Here is a 27,143-nt window from a genome sequence, read left to right as displayed (position 1 = left end):
CATTATATATTACATATATAATTAAATAATTATATAACTCACCATAATGTAGAATCATTGGGAGCCCTGAGCTTGTTTTCTTGCAGCTAGACGGTCCCATCTTGGGGTAATAGGAGACAGTCACAGATCATCAGGCATTACGTTCTCATAGGGAGTGTACAACTTAGATCCCTCACATGCACAGTTCACAATAGGGGTCACACTCCTATGAGAATCTAATGCCACTGCTGATCTGATACGTGGCAGAGCTCAGGTGGTAATGCCAGCAATGGGAGCGGCCACCTACCACTCGCTTCCTGCTCTGCAGCCTGGTTCCTAACAGACCACGGTTGGGAACCCCTGTTCTAAACTATTATTTTATAGAAAATGTGAATTTTGTAGATTTGTATTTCAGGTAAGATCAAGATATGTGGCGCCAGAGCCAAGTCTGAAAATAATCCACAGGCCTCGTAATGATAATGGGAAAAGATGTTTCAATCATTCTTGCTGCTATAGGAAGTACATGGAGCTGCAACTTAATTATACACTGTTTACTTGCCTTGCCTGTCCTGTTTGTTTGCTGAATGTAACATATTTGGCCAAATGCACTTTTAATTTTATGCAGCACAGGACCCTTCACACCAAAGCAAGCAAGCTGAAATATTTTAAGCCTTTCAGCTAATCAAGTTTATCCACTTAAAATCTGGCTGGGAGAGTGTGAGAATAATCTTTGAGGTCCCTTTCAGCTCTGACACTGGTGATTCCATATTTATAGAGCATATTCAGGATGTGTCATACAGAAAACCACCATAAACACATTTTTTTTTGGTCCCTTCGACATTTGGTTTTTGGTTGTGTTGCCTGTTTAACAATCACTTTCACCTCTCTATTCCTTTCAATTTTAGGTAAAAGAAACCTTTTTACCAGATAGTGACGAGTGGCTACCATGATTAATAAGTGACTAGACCTCATGGTCCTCCTCATACTAAAAGGTATGAGCACGATTTTCTTATATACCATTTTTATCAGGTAGAGATTTGGACTTCTATAAAAATTAATAAAAGGGACTTTTGTCATATAACTATATTAAGGGGAAGTTGGGGTAATAAACCATAATGAATGGGAAAAGACAGCTATTAACTATGTGAATTTAAACTAAAACAAGAATGCTATTTGATAAGTCACTGTGAAAACATTTTTAAGTGAGCCTTATGTAAAAAGTAGATCACTCATAAGTGAATATGTAACAGTGAATTTTCAAAGTGAACATGCCCACATAACCAGCACTCAAATGATGAAATAGAAAATTATCTGTACCTCGGAAGACTCTCTTACACCTTCTCCCAGTCATCACCTCCCTCAGTGGTAACAGCTATCCTAACTTCTAACACCACAGTTTAATTTTTAATTCTTTCTTAAAAAATTAATATATGTACTTTTAATTGGCACATAATAATTGTACATATATGGGGTACAATGTGATATGTTGATATATGTATACAATGTGTAATGATCAAGTCAGGATTTTAGCATATCCATCACCTCAAACCTTTATCTTTGTGTTGGTAACATCATAGATCTATTTTAACTAAAATAACTAATTTTTATTTTTAAAAAAAGTGTTGTTCTAAAAAATGATACAGAACAGTACGAAGTAAATGTGCTTCCTCCTCACTGCCTACTAATATCATTCCCACGTGTAACCACTGTTAATATTAGGTTGGTGCAAAAGTAATTGCGGTTTTTGCCATTACTTTCAATGGCAAAAACCGCAATTGCTTTTGCACCAACCTAATAGTTTAGGTACCATGACTAGACATTTACTTTTGTTTTTTATATATATATATAAAACAAATAATATACTTATTATATATATTTATATAAAACAAATAATATATTTATTATATATTTATATAAAACAAATAATATATATATTTATATATAACAAATATATATATTTATATATAAAACAATATATTTATTATATATATTTCAATATACCTATATTCTTGGATTTTTTTATGAAAATAGGATCATACTTGTTATATTGTTTTGCACTTTTCATTTTTATTCACATTTAAAACCATCATGGACATATTTGTAAAATTTTTAAGTGTGAATTTCATAATACTGCTATGATAATTTTTATATAGTAAATATATCGAGAGAAACGTAGATAATGGTCTCTTTTGAGCTACACTGTTCAGCATTTCTGAGAATACTTTGGAGTAGTCACTGTTATTTCTACATTATGATGTGTTAAGCATGTTCCACAGAACACACCAAGTGTCATAAACGACAGCACTGCTATAACATGGCATATGTGTTCATAAAACACAAAATGCTGTGCAAAGTTGTGCAATGAAACCACAAGGTTTATGGGAAAAATGGGGTTAGTAGCACAACACTCAAAAGGTTAGTCACTGACACATTAAAAGAAAGATAGGAACCTAATAAAAACAGTGGCCTAATTTTACACGTTAACTGGTTAAGAAATGTATGAGTACTATGACAAATATGGCACTTTGCCTTGAGAAGGAAAGTTTGCTTGGAAGTTGATGTGGAAGGATTGTAGCTTGTGAGTTACTAGGAAATGATGGAAGGAGGGTGATCTGAATTCAGACAGGAATTTATAATGCCAGATGTGGATGGCTGTGGCCCACTGTCATGAGGTATATTCATTTTGAATATTCTGATGTAGCTTGATACCACTGAGTGGAGCTTTCTGTTCACCTAATGTTTCATCCAGATGAAAGCTTGTGTATCCAGGTACAAAACTCACATTAGGCCCAAATGGTTCCCTAATGTACCAATGCCATAGGAGCAAATCTGTACTTTCAAAATAGTTACAGCAGAACTGACTATATATATATATATATAGTATATATATTTATACACACACATATATACAGCAAAACTGTACATTTATATGTGTACATGTATACATATACAAAACTACATTTATATGTATACGTGTATACATATACAAGCATCTACTACAGAAAACATGCTATATACATATACATGCTGTATATATATATATAGCAGAACTGACTATACATATATACACGTGCATATGTATATATAATTGTTAAACCGAAGAGGGATTCATATTTATAACAACTGCATTTTGTTTTATATTATGCTTTGACTCATATTTAAATAACTTGGAAATATCTACAGTAACTGCTCAACAAGAGCTTTGATGTTAATGAAGTTGCAAATTCTGGAATCAGATAGGATAATCTGACCTTACTCTGAGAACAACTTCCAACCACAAGCCTTATAAAGTGTCCCTTTATTTGTAAAGGGGCCCTCAGTCCACATTTGTTAATGAACACGTAATAATAGTCATACTTTTTTGAGCTCTTATCATATGATAAATGTTTTAAATGCATTTTTCACTTATTCCTCAAACAAGCTTTTAAAGTAGATGTTACATTTCATGTTGAACATGATAAATATGTATAAGTTTTATTTATCAATTAAGTACATTTTTTAAAAAAGTAAATGTTACAGATCTACAACTTCTTATTCAATTCCAAAACTCCACAGATTTTGAAAATCAGGTTTTGTATAATTTTTGTCTGTAAAACCTGACTTCTGCTAATATGAGTCTATTAATTGTATTTACCCTACTTAGTATAAACATTCAGAGGCTTTGCTGCAGAAATGTTAACATTCAGTTATAGAGTATTAGCCCAGACCCCACCAGGGTGAGGGTGTTATGTATAAATACAGTATATGCACTGTATTGCATTTCTAAAACAAAAAGAAAATACTGAATTATAAAACAACTACCCATGAGGATTTCAGATGATGATGTCTAGATAACATATTTAGTTTTCTAATTGAAAAAGGAGAAGATGCTTGGAAAATTAAGTAATTTGCCAAAAATTCCACAGCTGTACAGTAGCAGAATTGGGATTTTTGAACTAAAGTTGATATAAAATACCTCTATCTACAGTGTGGCTAACACTGCATATGGATGGCTATACAAAAAGCATCTCTCCTACACAAAACAAATTTGAGTCACCTGTTCACTTGTGACTGGTAATTAGCTTTAATTTGTGGGTGAAGTTCAGTAAATTATATCCAGATTTGGGATTGATTCAGTGCATTTTATAATTATAAACAAATTATATCTAACTCACCTTGTTTATATTAAAAACAAAAATGGGCTGGGCACAATGGCTCACACCTGTAATCCCAGCACTTTGGGAGGCCAAAGCAGATGGATCACTTTAGGTCAGGAGTTCAAGACCAGCCTGGCCAACATGGTGAAACCTCGTCTCTACTAAAAATATAAAAATTAGCCAGGCATGGTGGCAGGCACCTGTAATCCCAGCTACTTGGGAGGCTAAGGCAGGAGAATCGCTTGTACCTAGGAGGCGGAGGTTGCAGTGAGCGGAGATTGAGCCACTGTACTCCAGCCTGGGCAACAGAGCGAGATTCCATCTCAGAAAATAAAAAAAAATTAAACAAAAATAAAGTATTGTGATTTGTACATGTGGAAAAGTCATTAGTATCACTGAAGGCATTCACAAATCCTATGGACTGATTTTTCAAGGATGTTGTTTCTTTACAATCAAAATTTCACACATATATTGCTTTTTGCGTATTCACAACTTACTCATAAGTTGTTAACCACTCAAGGTAAGATATGTTACAAAATCACTCGTTTACATCCTCAATTTTTTTGTGTTAAGACTCCATATTCAAAGTCTAAAGGCACAACTGGGACATTAAGACAAAATATAAACATACGTTTCAGGAATTAGTACAGGGCAATTGTTTTTGAAATGTATATGCAGAGCACTAAGCTTGTCGCCTCCTATGACTTCCCCCAAAGAGTAGTAATTGATAGATAGTCCATACTTATCTGAATGAACATCATCTTGACAAATCACTCAATCCTTGCAAATGGCAAATTCTACATAACAGCCACTATGGGGATTAGTCCCTCAAGTTAAGACCTTTTGGGGAAGTTTAGTTCTGAAGTATTTCTGTCATTTATATGTACATACAGATGCTCCTCAGGTTATGTCCTGATAAACACATAATAAGCTGAAAATCTTGTGAGTCAAAAATGCATTTAATGTATCTAACTTACCAAACATAGCTTAACCCAGCCTACCTTAAATATGCTCAGAATACTTATATTAGCCTACAGTTGAGCAAAATCATCTGACACAAAGGCTATTTTATAAGAAAGTACTGAATATCTCATGTAATGTATTTAACACTGTACTAAAAGTGAAAAACAGAATAGTTGTACGGTTTCTCTCACAATGCTGGGCAGCAGCAGCAAGCCGTAGCTCCCAGTCAGCCACACAGTTCAACTTAATGAGACTTTGAATTTACGATGGGTTTATCAGGACATAACCCCATTAAAAGTAGAGGAATATCTGTATGTGTGTGCCCAAGTGAGATATAAGACAATTTTTTTCAGAAGTCATAATTTAAATATATATATATGCATTCTTATACTTTTAACTAGATGGAAGGTGAAAGGTACCTGTATAATTAAGAAGAGTAGAGACATGAGAGGAAAATAGTTCTATGATCAGGACCTTGGACACAAATACTGTGTCTTCAGCCTTATTTCTCATCCCTGCAGAATAATCTTCCCCTCTGCAAGCCACTTCTCAAATATGAAATGCTGAAAATCCTTTCTAATATCAACACCCTTGGCACACATCCCTTTCCCATTATCTCCTTCAGTGTGGTTATTTCAGAATCATTGTAAGTCTTTTTAAAAATTTTTAACCCCTCCTGTTCTTCCCAATAACAATTGTTAATGTAGATTCTTAACTTCTACCACAGTTCTTAATCAATACAAAATGCTACTTCAAAATGTTTTTTCCCAAGTGCTCTGTTCCCCTGAATTCTTCATATCAAGTTAAAAATATTAATCTACCCAAATTAAGTCTGAAAGATCAAACTATTTTATTAGTCTTCAGTTAGCTCTGCTCCTACACTTTGAAGAGAATCTTCTCACTCAATGTACATCCCTGGCAACCAACAACCTCTTTACCATCTTGTGCTACAGAGTATTACCTAAAATGACCCCAACTCAGTAAAATGTCCCCATCTACCACTGAGCTTAATAATCACCACAGTGGGCTTTGGGCCTATATAAAGGTATTTTCTAAGTTTGAATGCATACGTGGGTATTTTTAATTATTAGATCAATGTTAGAGAGCCTGTACTTTTTTTCTAAAACTTTAACCTGTTTCAACTACTAATTATTTTACATATAAAACCTTAGTTTTCTATATAATTTAAAGAGTATGGTGAATTTCTGATTTTTTGTTAACATCTTCACTTACAATGCAATGTTGAGATTCATTTTGCCACTCATCCTGGAACTATGTTTCTTTTAGGCTTTTGGTTAATTACTAAATTTTGTTCAGTCTTTCTAGCCTTTTCTTTCCAAAAGTAAGTAACATTTAAACCTGTAAACATTATTTGTTATAGTAATATTTAAATGTTTTACAAGTTAAAGTATCAAGTATTTGTTCATATCTACACTTTGATATTTGAGTGGTATAGTAGACATCTGCTATTTTGCCAGGTCCACTTAACCTGAATTTGATTAAAACATCTCACTTCTTTGGGAAACCACTCCTTTCCTCAGTGAGGTCCCAGTGGAGCTATCTCTGTGTGCGCACACACATGTAGACACACACTCCACTCACGCACATGTAAACACACCTGTTTTTCCCCAGCACATTAAGGCCCATCAGTGTAATAATCATCAAAGGTCTTCCTGACAACAGTGATTGGTTCCAAGAGGACTGATCCACTAAGATTGTAAGAGACTTTTTGTCCCAGGTTACAAGGTATAAGAATCATGTAAGCCTTAATCTCTGGCGTCTTCCGCAGCTTCATGGAGAAAGCTGTCTACAGAATTAAGTCAACACAGAAAAGTGAGCAGAACCTAGAAAAGGAAAAAGAGAAAAAGCTCCAGATGACATTGTGTGAGCTCCTGAATCCAGGTTTGCGTGAGGCTACCTAGATTCAACCCCTGCACTGCCAAATTCCATAAACCAAGTAATTCCCTTTTTCACTTGAGCCAAATTTTTAACTCTATGCTAAGATAATTATAGATTCAAACAAAGTTGCAAAAATAGTACAGAGATGTCCTGTGCACGCTTTACCTAGTTTTTCCCAATTGTTCTTAAGTAACTGTAGTATAATATCAAATCCAGGAAATTGACATTAGTGCAATACGTGTGAATCATTCTATGCCATTTCATTATGTGTGTATATTCATGTAACCACCACCAAAAGTGAGACGCAGAATTATTCCATCACCACAAACTTCTCCTTCCTATCCATTCTTGCCTTTGGCAATCACTAATCTGTTCTCCATCTCTATAATGTTGTCATTTTGAGAATGTTATATAAATGGAATAATATAGTATATGACCCTTTGAGATTGGCTTTATTTTTCAATCACCTTAATGTCCTTTAGATTCATCCAAGTTGATGCATATATCAGTAGTTCATTCCATTTTATTGCTTAACAATATTCTATGGTGCGAATGTACCACAATTTGCTTAACCATTTACCTACTCTAGGACATTTTGATTGTTTCCATTTTGGGGCTATTACAAATTAAATTGCTATAAACATTCATGTACAAGTCTTGTGTTTTGAGCCACTTTTATTTTCTGTCCATTGCAACCAAAAGTTTTAAATAATTCAAGCAGAAAAATGACAAAGCAGTGTAAGGAATAAAAATTTTCTTCATCTTTATATATTCTTTCATTTACCCATGAAATAGAAAGTAACATTTCCTCTCTTTCTCTGAGAAGAAATAGAGAATCTTCTTTCTTTACTTTCTTATTCACTCTTCCCAAAAAGAAATGATTTGTATAATCTGGGATTGTAAAATACCATCATCCATCGTTCCACATTCCTCTATTGGGTTGAGTTAAAGTATAGAGCATTACTACTCTATTTCATGTGTAGCCAACCCTCTTGCTCCATTTTCTCAAATCTCTTTTTGCCTTCTCGTGGCCTTTGTTCTCCCAGTTTTTACTTCCATACAGTAAATAGCCACGGTAGGTACACAAGCCAAGAGCCCCACTGTCCTTCTCTTAGCATTTCCATTTTTGCTCATTTGTGTTCAAAGCACATTGGTTAGGTCATGTTTCTTCATGGGGCTGGCTTGATAAGAACCAAGATCTAAACTTGGGGAAGAAGTAGCAGAAAACCCTTTATTTTGTTAGTACGCCCATCCCAGATCTTATTTATGTCTATTTCTCAGTTGGTTTTGAATCCAGAAAAGAGATGTGAGAGATTCGTTTTTCCCAAAACTCCCAACATAAAACGCTTATATATACTATATGACCTTTCAAAGATATGCCACATTTAAATTTTTTTATTTGTATAAATTTAAGGGGCACAACTATAGTTTTGTTACATAAACATATTGTGCAATAGTAATGTCTGGGCTTTTAGCGTAACCATCACCCAAATAATGTACACTGTGCCCATTAAGTAATTTTTCACCCCTCATTCCTCTCCCCCATTCCACCCTCTGAGTCTTCATTATTTATCCTTTCTCACTCTATACCCATGTGTACACGTTATTTAGCTCCCACTTATAAGGAAGAACTTGCAGTATTTGACTTCCTGTTTCTGAGTTGTTTCACTTAAGATAATGGCCTACAGTTTTATCCATGTTGCTACAAAAGACATAATTTCATTATTTTTTATGGCTTTTGTAAGAATTTTATTATTTTATGGCTTTTTGTATTTCATTGTTTATGGAATGTGTAAAGGACAAGGACTTACAATATATATGTATACACAATAGAGTACAAAAAGTAAATATATATATATAAATGTGATATACATATATCACATTATTTATATATTATATATCAGGGTGATGATGGCTTGAAGTCTAATCTGTTCATATTCACTCCCTCGCCTGCCCCTCCTCCTTGATAGATATAGATATAGATAGGTATATCTCAAAATTAGAACATTATTTTCTGAGTTTCTCAATTAAATTATTTCCTATGCACAGATGATCCATAACTACATTATTCAATTCCACTGACTCCTTCAACTAAGTACCTGTCCTCAAGTTTTCATCCTAGCCCAAACTATCTTTATTATAGCAATTAATGCTACCATATTTTTACATTTTTACACTACTATAACATACATTTTTTACATTACTGTTTTTTACTCATGTATCTTATAAAAATCTACCAATTTTCCCTTATAACCAATCTTCCCTCCTTTCCTAATAAGCTTTTTTTTTATTTAATTGAAAAAAAAGCCAAAAATTGGTATCAGTAAGGCTTGCATTTCCCTGCCTGGCCATCATTGGCACATGAGCAGCAAAGCCAGGAGGAAAGGGAAGGTATCAAAAAGAGATATACATGGTAGGAAAAGATAGGCCATCTATTGGTAATTACAGCAACACAAGCCTATGTATCTTGGCCATCCTTCACATGGACTTTTTAAATATCAGTGTTTAACTCCACTAAATACATGTATTGGCCATTAATTTGATAAAGGCCCCCTTATACTTGCCCTCTGGAGAATAAATCATTCAAGCAATTTGGTGCTTACACTGCTAAAGGCTAAAAGTCCATGATCCTAAATATTGCTTTCAAAGCCTATAATGAGAGAGTCTTCCCTTTTGGTTATCTTGTCTGTTTTAAAGCAGTGAACAATCCTAATTGGCTCTTTGTAGTACCCAGCCAGCCAAACATACTCCCTTAAATGCTTCAAGTACTTTGATGATCTTGAAGAAATGTTCCATTGCTGTCTTTCCTTTCATGTGAAGATTTAAAGGACAAGCCTTGAGAACTAATTGAACTAAATAAACTGTACAGGTGAACTTTAGCACTTCTTGGTAACTAACACAATACGTTTTGACTCCTATAATAATTATTTTTCTGTAGAGGCTGCTTCCTCATGCTTATAAGTTTAATTTGGCAGGCAATATTATATAAAGAAATTTGATTTTATTTAGTAATCTTCATATCTCCCTTCAGATCGACTCATTCTGCCTCCCAAAAAAAAGAAATTGTGGATAAAAATTCATGATATTTAACATCTTTTGTAGATATTGGGTAGGTTTCATCATCTTTTTCCCACTATTGGAAGTTAATTTTTAACCAAGGAGGGTGGGAAGTGATGGCTGTCAGAATTAGTTGGAACTCTTTTCAAAATTCTCCATCTGTCTGTAATTTAGCATCATTGCTCATAGACCCAAGATGATATAGTCGATTGCAAAGAAATGACATTTCCAGATGAAATCCATTTATAAAAGTAAACTAATCCCCTGTCATGACCTTAATGACCATTAGAGGGTCCCTTAGCAACCAAAAATAAGCTGTGAGGAAGAGATGAATGCATTTATTCATTCATTTCACATGTGCCAGATATTAAAATTTTCTAGTTTCTTCCTTCAATTCATTTAATGCTCATTTTTTGCACACCCAAAAGGACTTGATATTTAATTCTTTTATAAACTGTAAACATATCACAGTGGTATTTGGATATCTTACAGACTTTGTCTGTAAACAGAACTTGCTTCATGGCATATTCCAGATACTAGCGGGTACAAAATTTTATATACTTAACAAGTTCTTCAATTGAATGCCAATAATTTGTAACATTCGGATAGGAAAAGCACATTTAATACAATGAATGTTATTTATGTTTAGTCTTAGTGGCCATAATAAGGGCTATCTGTAAAAGACATTTGCAAGATAAATTCTGAATTATAGGAAGCATCTTGAAACATATCTACACCTAAAACACATATTTAAATGAAAATTAAATATTCTACATCCTATCATATTAACTAATGCCAGATGGAATGTAACATAATATTGCACAACTTAGCATGACTCAGCAATGTTAGTGGCTTGGATTTAAAATATTTTTCAATTGTAAGTGGCATTAGAAAGAAAAGTGTTAGGTTGGGGAAAGAGAGAAAACCTGTTCCTGAATAATTAAGTCTTCAGACTATTACAATGCTGAAGCCAGTTGCTGCTTTAGTTACCCATCTGTAGCAAAATGGACCTTTTATATGAAAACATGTCTATTTTTGAAAGGGTCAATTAGCCTCTCCACAGTTGTACATTAAGAAATATTCATAATGGTAAAAATTTCAAATGAAATCATTGATGCAAAGATGAAACTACCTGTACCTTAGAAGAAAACAAAAAGCTGAGTAGGAAAACACCCATTGTAAATATTCATGAGACAATCACAGACTTTGAAAACTTATATTTTGTATTATAAAATTAACTCACATACAAAGAGTTTGGAAATGTCATCTATGTTTATTTTACTTAACTAAAATCAGAACCAATAGTCCAATAGGTTTATATAACCATAAATGTTGGGCAGAAACCATTGACTTATTTATAGGTAAGCTTGCATTTCTTGAGAGTGAACCTATCTCTACTTAGGATGTGAAAAACCATAAAGAAAGTATTTCCCTTATAAAGAATAAACAAGCAATGTCATATTCCATTGCATTTTTGTTGTGTGATGTTCATGGCAACAAGACTAATAGGGTCTATGAAATCCAGGATCACGTTGCATTTGTTTACCCTTATACGCCAGCACCTAACACAGTACCTGGTCCTATATTTGCCTGTGTTCAAGAAATGCAATGGGAGACCCTAATATGGTTCACATGGCATTTGCCAGAGAGAAGCAAATTGCTTAATCTAGGGGAAAACAACTCGAATGCTGTACAAATAGCATGGTGAATTTATCTTGTTTCCACAGTAATTTTAAAAGTGACTTATTTCTTATAATTATCTTTTAAAATATGTTCTAACTCCTCCAGATTGGCCTAGGTCATATGTTCTATATCTCTCAGGTAGGGAGTGAGTCATATAATTTGAGAGGTATATGCTATTTCCCCTTCGTGTGGGTAGAGGGATATGCGTTTCTACCATTCTTGGCAAGGCTGTCATTGTAGGCCTAAACATTGAGTTGTTTTGTTTTGTTTTAAATTATAACTTTTGTCAAAATTTTTAAAAATCACATCTTAACATATTGGACTTTAATGTAATGTCAACATTATGAAATAATCACCTGGAGTTATAACTGTAATTGTTTAGATAGTATTTTTAGCTAAAAGTAAAGAATTTCTTTCCTTTGCTAAATTAAAACTCACGTAACACATCCAGTAGACAGCTTTTATTAGTCCTGTGTAAATTTACCCTGTCAATATATTTAAAAGTTTAGGTTTTGTAGTAAGCCCATAAAAGAAAGAAAAAATAATCATACTTTATATGTAAATTAAAGGTTTTATTAATATTTTTATGAATGAGAATTGCATGGAATTACTATTAGCTCTAATTGGCCTGAATAATCTCAATTAGAATAGAGGAATTGGGTGTTCTGGTCATTTTAATTGGGATTTAACAGTTTTAAAGAAGTTTTTTTATTTAAAGCCTTTTTGATTTTGGCCCTTTAAAGGAAACTCTATTTTCTCCTCTCCAAGGAGAACTCCTTGTTTATCTCTATTCTAAATACTCAACACTTCACTACATTCTCAAAACTTCACTCTGACACCATATGTGTGGATGTTTTGCTCTTACTAACCAATTCTCCAACTCTCTGGGCACCAACTGAGTATCCTGCAATTCAGTTATCACATTGACTACCTGAGGTTAGTGCACATCCCACGGGTTAAGGGCTTAGTCCCACAAGACTACTTCCCACTTCATATACCAATTGCAAGTAAAGGTCCCCAGGTTACCCATACATCTGTCCAACGTGGCTACAAATTGAGGTTCCCAAGACCCCTCTTTGGGTTTGGTACTTTGCTATCAAGACTTATAGGACTCAGAGAAACACTTTAATTATGTTTACATCTTCAATCTAAATAACTAACAAAAGATCTCTAAAGGAAAATTATACACATTCAGAAACAGCATTGCAATGGGAGTATGTGTGCTATAATAAACTATGTATATATTCAAGGAGGTAGATGAAGACAAAGTTTAAAAACAATTGAAGAGAATTGTATGATTGTTTTGAGATAATTATCCTTGACTACAAGGAGCAATAAGAAGGGTGATGCTAGTCAGAAATTAGATATGCAGTTGTTGGGCAAATGTCCTCACTGAAGTATTAAAAAATAGATTTTGATGGCCTTTGTGCAAGTTTGCAGTTTTGGCAGTATTTGGTGATAGTTTGGTTATCAAGCATTTATGCATAAAAACCCTTACTTTATAACCTTCCTGGCTCTATTTGTCAGGATTTTTTTTTTAACACAAGTGATTCCATTTTGATCTGACAATGTTCACATTTCCGTCTTTTGATCAGTATCGTTCTTCAAAAGCATCACTGATCAATCATCTGTAGTTAGGTTTTTATTGTCCCCTGGGGCCAGGATGGACCTATCGCAGTTTGTTAGTCTAGTCCCACATCGGAGGGAGTGATTGATAGCTTGGATTTAGTTTCAAAACCCTTTTAGCCACATTTGAGCAATATGAAAGTTTTGAAGGGAGTAGTCCTGAGGCTAAGTCTACCTAGAGTCCATTAATAAGTTCAATTTTATCTGTTTCATTGTCTTTTGCTATCAATTTCAAAGTGCTGGCCCAGCATTATTTTGTTAAGGGTTGTACTTCTGCAGAAATTTAACTAGTAACAAATATAAAGTCTAAAAAGGGAAAATACAAAGTAAAATTAACAGTAATATGTCAATCTCAGTTTGCATAATGTTTTTGAGCCAAAAACCTCTGCTTAAAGGCAACCAATTGAACAAATCAAACGCCTGTTACCCTGCCAAGTAGAAAAGGTAGACATTGAGAAGGGTAAGAGTTTTATTACAATATATAGTCTTGTTTTAGTGTCTTGGAAAAAGTTGTCTACAGCATGAAAACATCAATTTCTCATCCTGACTTGTAGTTTAAATATCTATGGTATGACATCAGACAGTTTGGTGAACTTTTTATGTGGCCCATACATCAGACACAACACTTGTTCCTTAAAATTCATCTAGTATTAGCTTGCAGGGCTTTACGAACAGAGCAGTTTCCATTTTGAGTAACTTCATGAAAAAAGTGTTATTGGAGGAATATAGAAGGATTAAGGATCTAGTCTCGTTTATATGCAGATAAAAACACTTGAAAACAATATATAGAGTTGCAGTCTAATAACAGGTGTATTATAGCTTTTCTTTAAAAACATAACTTTTTCTCTATATATAGATCACATAGGAATCTCAGATTTTAAAACTTTTTGAGGTTAGGAAGCCAAACTAAGGCAGATTTTAAATTTTAGCTACATTCTTAAAGTTCCTGAGCCTACACAGAAGTGACAATTTTTTTTTACTCACTGTAAGGCTGGGAACCCTTGAAGCCAGGTATTCTATACACATACTCAAATATAATATTTTATGCAAAGCCTTGGTAATATAACCAGTTGTATCCTACCATAAAGAGAGAGCAGATTATTATTAGACATACAAATAACCATATTGACCTAGGAATACACAGGAGTAGTTTTCAAATTTTAGAGTAATCAAGTAGGCATATAAATCAAATGTTTCTATCTTTATTTTAAAAAGTATACTTTTCATAATATGAGAAACAAAGTGTTTAAGTAAAGACCAATAATGTTTCAATTAAATGACATAAAACATTATCAGTTATTCACTCTCATGTAATTATTTTTTATTCTGCTTGAGCATGATTAGAAGTTTTATGAACCCATCAGTTTCTTCATTAGAGTTTTGAAAAAACTTAATTTAGTCCACTGATCTTAAAGTTAGTAGAAAACTGTATTTTAGAATACTTTTCAGAGTCTCTTCCGGGAATTTGATTGTGAATGCCTTTAGAGAAGAATTTAAAGCAATAACTATAGATGACAAAAATTTAGGATAGCCATGGTTGAAAATCTGATGTAAATTCATTATAATCAGTAATTGACCAAAAAAATTATTTTTTTGTGGCATAAAACATCATATCCAGAATAAGACTGATGACATAGTTGATTACTGAAAGTTTTATATAATTTTAGGACATACCCATAAATGTAACTGAAAAAAGATTCAGCATCACTTACCATTTGACAATGCTTCCCATACAATTTACCAAATAAGCCTAATAATTTAATATGTCTACAAGATGAGAGATATATTATTTGATGCTCTACAGGAGCCCAAGTGGATAATCTCAAAGTTAATCCTTGGTCAAAAATACTTAATTTAGAATGTTTATCCTGGGGAAGGCTGTCAAAGACATCAAAACATTCAAAATGTTTGACTAAAGTGAGAGTACATGTCACTATGAAATAATAGTCATTAATTTAACCAGAATAATAATTGAAAGACTTCAAAAGCAGTACAGAAAGGTACATGGATGTAGAAACCTTGAGCCTTTCAAAGTTCACTATTTCTAAGTAATCAAAAACCTAATAGATATAACTCAGGAAATTATCCTGATAAAACGTAAGTTATTTTTTAGTCCAGTTACCAAGAAAAGTTAAAAAGAAAAAAAAAACTTTTATGTGATTGCTCCTTCTTTTGGGAAGCCTATTTAGATAAACCAGAAGTCAAAACTGATGAAAAAGATACTTGAATTTAATCAGACACAGGAAGAGTGTGTCCAAGGTTACGAGTGCTAATTATAGTCAACTTGGTCCCACACAAAATCCATTTTATCCACAGTATCCTTCATGAACCTTATTATGACTTGCTCAAACCTTTGACAACATGTTTAGACTCTGTTTGTCCTGTCTTCCTCTTTCTTAAATAATCAGTCATTTACTTAAGGACAAAAATTTATCACACAAGATTCTTTCTCATTCAAAATTATTTCTTTTTTTAACCTTCCTTACCAAAAATACATTTTCATGCCTATAACTTTCTTCACATATTTTTCTCCTATTTTTTCCTTTCAACCTTTATTTATTTCCTTCATAAATCTATATTTTTAAACAACCTTTAGATAACCTCTGAATTAGATGAAATTATTTTTTCTCAATGAAGACTACATTTTTATGCCTTTCTTATAATTTTTCTGTCAGTAAAAATATCTCATTTTTGGTGCTCTTTATATACAGAATTATATATATAATAATTAGTTATAACTCTCAGTAACCTTAATTTTTAGCAAGCAATTTTGAACTGTCACATATCAGTATCTGATAGATGAAAACCATTTTACACGTTTTAGAAATCTGTTTCCTCATAACATAATTGTTATATGTATAAATACACCAAATAATATGATATATTTAGTTTTTTTATAAAATTTTAAGAAGTAAAGAACAAACATGTTATTATCAGTAATATATTTTAGTTTTTATCTTATTTGGAAATTACCCAGATATTTAATCTATCACTTAATAAAACATAACATAATTTAAGATTTTAAACTACATGAAAAGTTTATTTATAAATATTTACTGCATTTACATTTACCTACTTTATTTTTAAGTATTATAACTAGATTACTTATGAAACCTAAGATATTAGACAAAGTCAACATTTCAAGTTATTTTCCTCTTAACCATTTTTATACCCTGTGAATATCAGGTGTTCACCTAAGTAAAAAATATATGGATATTTTCTGGTAACTCAGAAGATATACCTGTTCTTGTTAAAAACCAACAATATTACATTAGCCTTAGTCATCAAATAATTATACAATCAAAGATCATTTAGTGTTAGACTAAATTTATAGTTTTATAACCTTTGTATCAAACCTTGACACCTAAAAAGAGACAAATATATAATTGTCTGATGAGTAAACCCAGGCAAAAATGTATGCTATTTTGAAGACATTTATTTTTATTTTACCAACAATATAAAAACCAGCTTTTTAAAGATTTACTCAAGTCATGTGAACAAAAAGCCATTTGGGTTGATGACTGTATAGTTTATATAAGCACTAATGCATGTAAGCCAATCTGAATAGAATTTCTTAAGGGATTTCTGGTTGACTATAACAGTTTTCACCATGCAGTCATGACATACAGCTTAATACATGTACATGTGCATAAATATACCTAAACACATGTACACACCCAAAAATAGTATTGCTTTTATTTAGAATATTAGTCTTGACACAGTAAAACATACTAACTCACCTGTTTGTAAAAGACATTTAGATACAAATTATATTTCTGTTAACATTCAATTTTCAAGCTGCTGATAAAGACATACACAAGACTGGGAAGAAAAAGAGGTTTAATGGACTCTCAGTTCCACTTGGCTGAAAAGGAAGGCAAGGAGGAGCAAGTCATGTCTTACATGGATGGTGGCAGGCAAAAGGAGAGCTTGTGCAGGAAAACTCCCCCTATATAACCATCAGATCTCATGAGACTTATTCACTATCATGAGAACAGCATGGAAAGGACACACCCCCAAGATTCAATTACCTTACACCAGGTCCTTCCCACAACATGTGGGAATTATGAGAGCTACAATTCAAGATGAGATTTGGGTGGGGACACAGCCAAACCATATCATTCCACCCCGGCACCTCCCAAATCTCATGTCCTTATATTTCAAAACCAATCACGCCTTCCCAACAGTCCCCCAAAGTCTTAACTCATTTAAGCATTAACTCAAAAGTCCACAGTACAATGTCTCATCTGAGACAAGGCAAGTTCCTTCTGCCTATGAGCCTATAAAATTAAAAGCAAGTTAGTTGCTTCCTAGATACAATGGGGTATAGGCATTGGGTAAATACAGCCATTCCAAATGGAGAAATTGGCCCAAGAAAGGGGCTGCAGGCCCCATGCAAGTCCAAAATGAAGCAGGATAGTCAAATCTTAAAGCTCCAAAGTGATCTCCTTTGACTGCATGTCTCACATCCAGGTCACACTGATGCAAGCAGTTGGTTCCAATGGTCTCAGGCGGCTCTGCCCTTGTGGCTTTTCAGGGTACAGCCTCCCCACCTGGCTGCTTTCATGAGCTGGCATTGAATGTCTGTTGCTTTTCCAGGTGAACAGTGCAAGCTGTCGGTGGATCTACCATTCTGGGGTCTTGGGGACAGTGGCCCTCTTCTCACAGCTCCCGGTAAGGACTCTGTGTGGGGGCTCCAACTCCACAATTCCCTTTTGTACTGCCCTAGCAGAGGTTCTCCATGAGGGCCCCACCCCTGCAGAGAACTTCTGCCTGGGCATCCAGGCTTTTCCATATATCCTCTGAAATCTAGGTGGAGGTTCCCAAACTGAATTCTTGACTTCCATGCACCCACAGGCTCAATACCACGTGGAAGCTACCCAGGCTTGGGGCATGCACCCTCTGAAGCAACAATCCAAGCTGTTTCTTGGCCCCTTTTAGCCATGGCTGGAGCAGCTGGGATGCAGGGCACCCAGTCCCTAGGCTGCACAGAGCAGAGGGGTACTGGGCCTGGCCCGCGAAACCATTTTTTTCTTTTAGGCCTCTGGGACTATGATGGGAGGGGCTGTTGCAAATTTCTCCGACATGCCCTGGAGACATTTTCCCCATTGTCTTGGTGATTAACACTTGACTCTTTGTTATTTATGCAGATTTCTGCAGCCGGGTTGAATTTCTCCTCAGAAGATGGGTTTTTCTTTTCTGTCTCATTGTCAGGTTGCAAATTTTCTGAAATTTTATGCTGTTTCCCTTTTAAAACTGCATGCTTTTAACAGCACCCAAGTCACATTTTGAATGTCTTGCTGCTTAGAAATTTCTTCCACCAGATACCCTAAATCATCTCCCTCCAGTTCAAAGTTCCACAAATCTCTAGGGCTGGGGCAAAATCCCACCAGTCTCTTTGCTAAACATAGCAAGAGTCACCTTTACTCCAGTTCCCAACAAGTTCCTCATCTCCATTTGAGGCCACCTCAGCCTGGATTTCATTGTCCTTATTATTAGCATTTTGGTCAAAACCATTCAACAAGTCTCTAGGAAGTTCCAAACTTTCCCACATTTTCTTATCTTCTTCTGAGCCCTCCAAACTGTTCCAACCCCTGCGTGTTACCCAGCTCCAAAGTTGCTTCCACATTTTCGGGTATCTATAGCAGCACCATACCCTAGGTACCAATTGACTGCATTAGTCTATTTTCACATTGCTGATAAGGACATACCCAAGACTGGGAAGAAAAAGAGAAGTTTAATGGACTTACAGTTCCAATGGCCAGGGAGACCTCACAATCATGGCAGAAGGCAAGGAGGAGCAAGTCATGTCTTACATGGATGGCGGCAGGCAAAGGGAGAGCTTGTGTAGGGAAATTCCCCCTTATAAAACCATCAAATCTTGTGAGAGTTATTCACTATCACGAGAACAGCACTCACAGTAAAGACCCACTCCCAAGATTCAATTATCTCCCACCAGGTCCCTCCCACATGTGGGAATTGTGGGAGCTACAATTCAAGATGAGATTTGGGTGGGGACACAGCAAAACCATATCACATGGCTAACCTTTATTTACCCCAATAGGTAATCTAATGAAGGATATGGACCAAAATTGGGTAAAGCAGTTTCCATTGTGGTTTGGTTTTGAAAGACCTTTTTTTTTCAGTTTCAAATGAGTGGAAGATTCAGTTTTCAATCTTTACATTTTAGCTAGAACTGGCTGAATTGTATAAGGAAAATAAAATCTCTAAAGAGCCGTAACTTTTAGTAACAAATCTATTTTTTGTTGGCTAGTTGGATTTGATTGACTAATCAGTGCAGATGGAGAAGTATTTTAGCAGGGTCGTTTTTTTGTTTGGTTGGTTTTCTTTTGGGCTCCTGTGTGGCAGACAAAGCAATTTTTATGATAGATAGAGATAACTTATATTATTGCTGTGAGCTCAAGGTTTTGACCTGTTTGATCATCTGTGATCTTAACTTCTATAAGCACTTATCTAGTTATTTTCTTTTATAGTATCAATCCTTCAATTAGCTGTTCTGTCATCCTAAGCAATTGTTAGGCAAACCTGACTAACAGGTTTACTTAAATTTACATTTTAAAAAGGTGTCTAGATTGTTGTTTATAATAGAGCTGTTTTAATTTGTAAGACATTAATTTGAAAGCCCTTTAAGACTGTTTAAAAGTCTTGACTGAAAAGCCATAAGCAGAGAGTTTTATTTCAACACCAGTAGAAAAGTTAGAAAATTAGGCAGAGAAATGAAATAGAGGGATAGAGAGAGCTAGGAAGGCTCTACACATTAATTCTGTAATTACAGGGGATTTTTAGAGAGTCTGAATAATGATCAATCAAGCCTTGAGTCTTTCTTAATGTAATTTGCCCATCAGTTTAAAAATGTGCATGAGAACAGGCCATAATACGTAGTCAGCTAGAGTCCCACAAACCCTTGGCATGCCTTAATGTTTGAGAATTCCATTCTATTTCTCATTAATCTCTTGAAAGCAAAGCTAATTTTATAAATCCTTTTGGACCAGTGTTTTAGATGGTAGTGGCTGTGGCAGTGACTTTTAATTAGCCATCCTGAACCCATCATTTAAAATATTTATTTTTGCTTTCAGAAATTTTGAAATAAGTAAGGGAAAAAACCAAATTATTTACAGATACACATAACCAACCCAAAATAAAAGCAAAATACTAAATTAGGCACACAGAAAGAACTAAAAGTAAATTCACTAGGAAAGACACTCCTCAAAGATAGAATGTAAATTTTGTGAATCCAGAGTGCTCAAACCAGAATAACGCTTGTCCTTATACCCTAAAGGACTTGCCAAGAAAGATAAAAAGTATTTTATTATCCCAGAAAGAATGCAAGGTTCTTCATTTCAGTTGGCTTATAACAACAATAACAACAACAAAAAAAAAAAGTCAGGCACTTCTAACAAAAAGAGGGAAGCTTGGCCTGACAGAAGACTCACAATGGCAGAATAGGTGAGTTGTGGAAGCAGGGAGCTGAAAGGGCTCAGAAGAGTACTGCATACCAGTTCCAAATATTAACAATTCCTTTTGATAATAGTCTTTCTTCAGATCCCACTTCTGACACCATTTACGTCAACCTAAAAAACCAGAGAGGGGCTCTCTAAAAGAAAATGATATTTATTTGGGAATACGGCATTGTGATGAGAATACATGTGCCATAGTAAACCATGTGCATATTCAGGGAGGTAAAAAAGACAACGGATTTTAAAGAAAAAATGAGCAAGATTACACAGTGGTTTTGAGGTAATTAAGATAATTATCCTTGGCTCTAAAGATCAATAAAAAGAGTAATACCAGTCTGAAGTTAGACAGCCAGTTGCAAGAAACATGTCCTTGCAGAAGTAGTTTTTGTGTAAGGTTGTGATGGCCTTTATGCAAGGTTGTGGTTTTTGCAATCATTTGTGATAGTTTTTATCATCAGGCATTTATGTATACGAACCCTCTTTTCATAGCCTTCCCTGGCTCTAATTTTCAGATTTTTTTTTTAATAAACATGAATCCATTTTGAATCTGATAAGTTTCACAATGTGTTTGTCTTAAAGAATACAACTCAGAAACACCCAAACAAGAGGAGGTATGGGGAAGGCAAGTGGAGCTCCGAGGTACTCTTCAGGTATACCACTCTCCCAGCACAACCAACCTGTTCACCAACATGGAAGCTCTCCAAACTTCTTTCTCTTGAGTTTTTATGGAAGCTTCATTATGTAGGCATGATTAATTAAATCATTGGCCATTGGTGCTTAAGTCAATCTCTAGGCTCTCTACCTTCCCTTCAATTACATGGTTGGGTCTCTTGGCAACCAGCCTTCATCCTATGATTATCTAGGGGCTTTCCAGAATTACCTCACTAACATAACCCAGGTGTGGTTGAAAATAGCTTGTTATGAATAACAAATGATGCTCCATTCACCCTTCTGTTATCACTTAGGAAATTCCAAGGGCTTTAGGAGCTCTGTGACAAAAATAGGTACAGACACCAAATATATATTTCTTATCACAGTATCACAGACCCTAATTGTTGAAAATTGATATTAGAACCTTACAGTTAAAGAAACACTATGAGTTTCTTTCCATCCCACTTAACCTTCCGTGCAGTGCTGGAATCTCTTCTATGGTATTCCTACCTCTTTCTGAAAATTTTAATGGATAGGAAACTAATGTCTTTGGAAGGTAACACACTCCATTACTGAAATATTATCATTGTTAGAGAGTTCTGATTTCTATTAAATCCAAATCTGGCTCACTGAGACTTTGGTCCGTTGTTTATAGTTTTATTCTTGAAAGCAATAAAAATTACATATCTTGCCCCCAATTTAACACTTATACCTAACATAAAATCTGCCATGAAGTACTATCAATGATTTGTTATATAAAAATTACAGGAGGTCATTGTTTTGGACTCGGCTCCTGTACTAGGCCCCAAAAAACCAGATTAAAAATAAAAATGGACTCAGCTATGCTGAAGTACCATTTCACCAAACCTGAACTAACTTGATATGTGACTTAGTAATTAGAAGAGAGAAATAACAATTTCCCAAACAGACCAGTTTAAAATCTTTAATCAGCATAATAATGAAGTTTCCTCTGCTTTAATCCTTATTCACAAAAAAGGTAGTGTAAAGTAACCTGATGTTATTTAATGAGTTATTTTTCTATTCTTCTGTCTAAAAGTAACTAATATACTCTTTGTTCTTTGTTTCTGCTTACTTCAGCCCTTCTCTGTCTATAATGCTAAACTCCTCTGCTCAGCCCGTTGGAACACTTATTCTATTTTATGAACTGAAATGTTATCCAATTCTAGAATCACAAATAAAGCCAATAGAAGTATTTAAATTAAATTTGTTGTAATTTTGTCTTTTGACACTTTCTTACAAGGGCTTGATAATGTCATTGGGAATGACCCAGTTCCCTAATGTTTGCATTTCTTGTATTGGTCAGAAATGCCTTCAGCTGCAAGGAAAAGCATACTCAAATATAATAGCTTAAGAAGTGAAGACATGCTCACATAACTAGAAATCTAGAGATAGGCAATTGCTAACGTTTGCGCAACAGTTCAGGGATGCTCAGGGATATTTTCTCTGCAGTTCTCTAGGTCTTTATGGTCATTTCCTTTGTCTAAGGCAGGAAGAAAAAGGAAGTGCTATATCTTTTATTTTCTCATGAAAGCAAATGCTTTCCCAAAAGTCCTGCAACCAGACTGCATGACTTATTTACCATTAGGTTTCCAGCCCTTAATAGAATATGGCACCTATTATGTGAGCACTAAATGTTATAAAATTAATAAATGAATGAATGTCTTATATCAACACAACCATATGAGTAAAACTCTGGCCTTAAAGGTATTCTGACTAGAGGAGAGATAAACATAAAATTAAAATACAAAGCAATCAAAAAGCTCTCACTTTTCTTTAAAGGGAAAGGAAAACAATCATAAGGAAGCAAAGTAGACTTATTTAAGTGTTATTTCTTGCTTGCTAGTAATTTAAAATTGACAAAGGGAGCTCCAGTGGCACATGTTTAATGATTATTATTTTCAAATAAAATAATAATAGAAAACATAAAATAAGTGATCAATAAGTTGGTGTTGTGGAGTCTTCCCTGGTAAAATCTCAAAACACCAAGACTAAAAGTAAAATAACAAAAGTTTTAAGGAAGGAAAAAAACCTGAAAGCTTGTGAGATATCCAAAAATCTCAGACTTCATTCCAGATCTCCTGAATCAAATCTGTATGTTAGCAAGATTCCCAGGTGACTTAGAATGTGCACATCCTTTCATTTTTTTCCTCACTTCACCATCCATTTCTCTTAATTACATTATTATGTAATAAGTGTTCTATTCTTTTACATAATTGTACTGAAGACTCCCAATATTATTATTATATTTTGTACAAGTCATTGATATAGAACTAAGTAATATGGTTTGGTCTGAGATGAAGGACATGTGTACTTTACATCAGAGTTTCACGACCTTGACACTATTAACATTTTGGGCCCCACTGTTCTTTGCTATGGAGGGCTGTCCTATGCACTGTAGGACGTTTAGCAGCATTCCAGGCCTCTACTCACTATATGTCAGTAGCAATCTCCACTCCAGTTGTAAAAACCAAAGGTATTATCAGACATTATCAAATTTTTCCAGGAAACAATATAGTCCCTGATTGAGAAACAATGCTCTACATTAAAACTTTGCCATTTGATAGGAATCTTCCAAGCCATGTTTCTAAATTTCTTTTTATATCTTTTTTTAACTCTTCAGTTTATAACCAGCTGCCACTGTTTACTGTATGTTATGTTATTCTATTACAGGCATATGTCCAAGATATTTTGGGTTCGGTTCCAGACCACTGCAATAAAGCAAATATCGCATTAAAGCCATCATATGGACTTTTTTGTTTCCCAGTGCATATAAAAGTTGTGTTTATACTATCCTATTAGTCTATTAAGTGTGCAGTAGCATTATATCTACAAATCAGTGGGCATGCCTTAATTTTAAAATGCCCTATTGCTAAAAATGCTAACAATTATCTGAAACTTCAGCGAGTTATAGTCTTTTTGCTGGTGAAGGGTCTTGCCTCAATATTGATGGCTGCTGACTGATTAGGGTGGTAGTTGCTGAAGGCTGGAGTGGCTGTGGCAATTTCTTAAAATAAGACAGCAATGAAATTTGTCACATCAGTTGACTCTTCCTTTCATGGAAGATTTCTCTGCAGCATGTGATGCTATTTGATTGCATTTTACCTACTGTAGATGTTTCAAAATTTGAGGCAATCATCTCAAACTCTGCTGCTGCTCTATCAGCTATGTTTATATCATATTCTAAATTCCTTGTTATCATTTCAACAATGTTAACAACATCTTTACAAGGAATAGATGGTGAACTTTCTCAAGAAACCACTTTTTTTGTTCATCCATAAGAAGCAACCCTTAATTTGTCCAAGTTTAATCATGAGATTGCAACAATTCGTCACGTCTTCAGGCTTCATTTCTAATTTTAATTCTCTTGCATGTCCACCATATCTGCAGTTACTTTCTTCACTGAAGTCTTGAACCCTTCATGGTCACCCATGAAGGTTGGAAGCAACTTCCTTCAAACTCCTATTAATGTTGATATTTTTACCTCCTCTCCAAAATTACCAGTGTTCTCAGTGGCATCTAGAACGGTAAATCCTTTCCAAAAGTTTTTTCAATTTACTTTGCCCAGATCCATCAGATGAATCACCATTTATGGCAGCAATAGCCTTACAAAATGTATTTCTTGCATAAGAAGACTTCATAGTTGAAATTACTCCGTGATTCATGGCCTGCAGACTGAATGTTGTGTAAACAGACGTGAAAACAACATTAATCCCTTTGTACATCTCCATTAGCAATCTTGGGTGATGAGGTGCATTGTCAATGAGCAGTAGTATTTTGAAAGAAATCTTTCTGAGCAGTAGGTCACAACAGTGGGCTTAAAATGCTCAGTAAACTATGCTATAAACAGGTACACTCTCATCTAGGCTTTGTTATTTCGTCTATAGAGCACAGGCAGAGTAGACTTAGCGTAATTCTTAAGAGCCCACAGATTTTTGGAATGGTGAATGAGCATTAGCTTCAACTTAAAACTCACCAGCTGCATTAGCCCCTGAGGGGAGAGTCAGCCTGTCCTTTGAAACTTTGGAACCAGGCATTGATTTCTCTCTAGCTGTGAAAGCTGGCATCTTCTTCCAGTAGAAGGCTGTTTTGTCACCACTGAAAATCTGTTGTTTGGTATAGCCTCTTTTATTAATGATCTTAACTGTATCTTCTGCATAACTTGCTGTAGCTTCTCCATCAGCACTTGCTGCTTCACCTGGCACTTACATGTTCTGGAGAAGTCTTCTGTTAAACCTTGTGAATCAATCTCTGCTACCTTCAAACTTTTCTTCTGCAGCTTGCTCACTTATCTCCCAGCCTTCACAGAATTGAAGAAATCTAGGGACTTGCTCTGGATTAGGCTTTTGCTTAAGGGAATGTTGTAGCTGGTTTGATCTTCTATCCAAACCACTAAAACTTTCTCTATGTCAGCAGTAAGGCTGTTTTGCTTTTTTTATGATTCATGTGTTCACTGCAGTAGCATTTTTAATTTTCTTCAATAACTTTTCTTTGCATTCACAACATGGCTAACTACTTGGCACATGAAGCCTATCTCAGCTTTCAACATGTCTTCCTTGGTAAACTTCATCATTTCTAGGTTTTGATTTTAAGTGAGAGATGTGCAACTCTTCCTTTCACTTGAACACTTAAAAATTAGGCAATTGGAGGGTTATTAATTGACCTAATTTCAATATTGTTGTGTCTCAGGGAATAGAGAGGCCTGAGGAGAAGGAGAGAGATCAGGAAACAACTGGTCAGTAGAGCAGTTAGGACACAAACATTTATGAATTAAGTTCCCCATCTTATATGGGTGAGGTTCATTGTGCCCCAAAACAATTCCAATAGTAACATGAAAGATCACTGATCACAGATCATTATAACAAATATAATAATGATGAAAAATTTTAAAATATTGTGAGAATTACCAACATGTGACACAGAGATGCGAAGTGGGCACATGCTGTTGGAAAAATGGACTTGCTCAACGTAGGCTTGCCACAGGTCTTCAATTTGTAAAAAACACACAATCTGTGAAGCTCAATAAAGCAAAGTGTCATAAAGCAAGTCTATACCTGGATTTGCTTTTTATTTGGTACTATATCTCCTTGGGTAATTTTTCAATAGAGGGTGTGTAGACATAGACTTCTTAAGTTCTTATTTGTCCAAAAATAAGACAATTTTGGACAATTAAGTTCTTCTTTGTCCAAAAATATCTCAACTTGGCTCTTAGTAGCTTGGGTGATTAAATAATTCCAAATTTAGCATTCTTTCCACCCAGAACTCTGAAGATATTGCTTCACTGGCTCATGCAGTGTTGCCTATGTGAAGTCTGATACCTGTATTATTATTCCTCATAGATTTAGGGATATATCTACTTACTACAGGTTGAGTTAGATAAAACTGGCAATGTGTGACCATTTTTTTCTTATAAAGCAACAAGTTCAGGTAGTTTAATCTAATATTTGCTATTTGTCTTTTTATTATATTTATATTATTATATTTCCTTTCCTCCCTTGATCAAATTCTTTTGAATTTTTTGGTTACATTTTTCTTTATTAGTTTGAATGCATACTTTCTTTTACTGTGAGTAATTACACTAGAAATTATAACATGCGCCATTGACTTACCAAAATCTAATGGTACTTGGCAATGTTACCTCCTCCCAGACAAT

General features: G+C 34.6%; 1 long non-coding RNA gene across 1 annotated transcript; it reads left to right on the top strand.

The window, feature by feature from the left end:
• The first annotated feature begins 22 nt into the window (after positions 1–22).
• Positions 23–24,228, top strand: LOC124902655 (uncharacterized). Its single transcript, XR_007062636.1, has 2 exons — positions 23–971; positions 17,943–24,228. It is a non-coding gene; the product is annotated as an uncharacterized LOC124902655 (long non-coding RNA).
• Positions 24,229–27,143: the final 2,915 nt, after the last annotated feature.

The sequence above is a fragment of the Homo sapiens genome, chromosome 11 (genome assembly GCF_000001405.40).
Source record: "Homo sapiens chromosome 11, GRCh38.p14 Primary Assembly".
Classification (NCBI taxonomy): domain Eukaryota; kingdom Metazoa; phylum Chordata; class Mammalia; order Primates; family Hominidae; genus Homo; species Homo sapiens.
The sequence above is the reverse complement of the archived record's forward strand: the minus strand, read 5'-3'. Positions and strand labels throughout refer to the sequence as shown.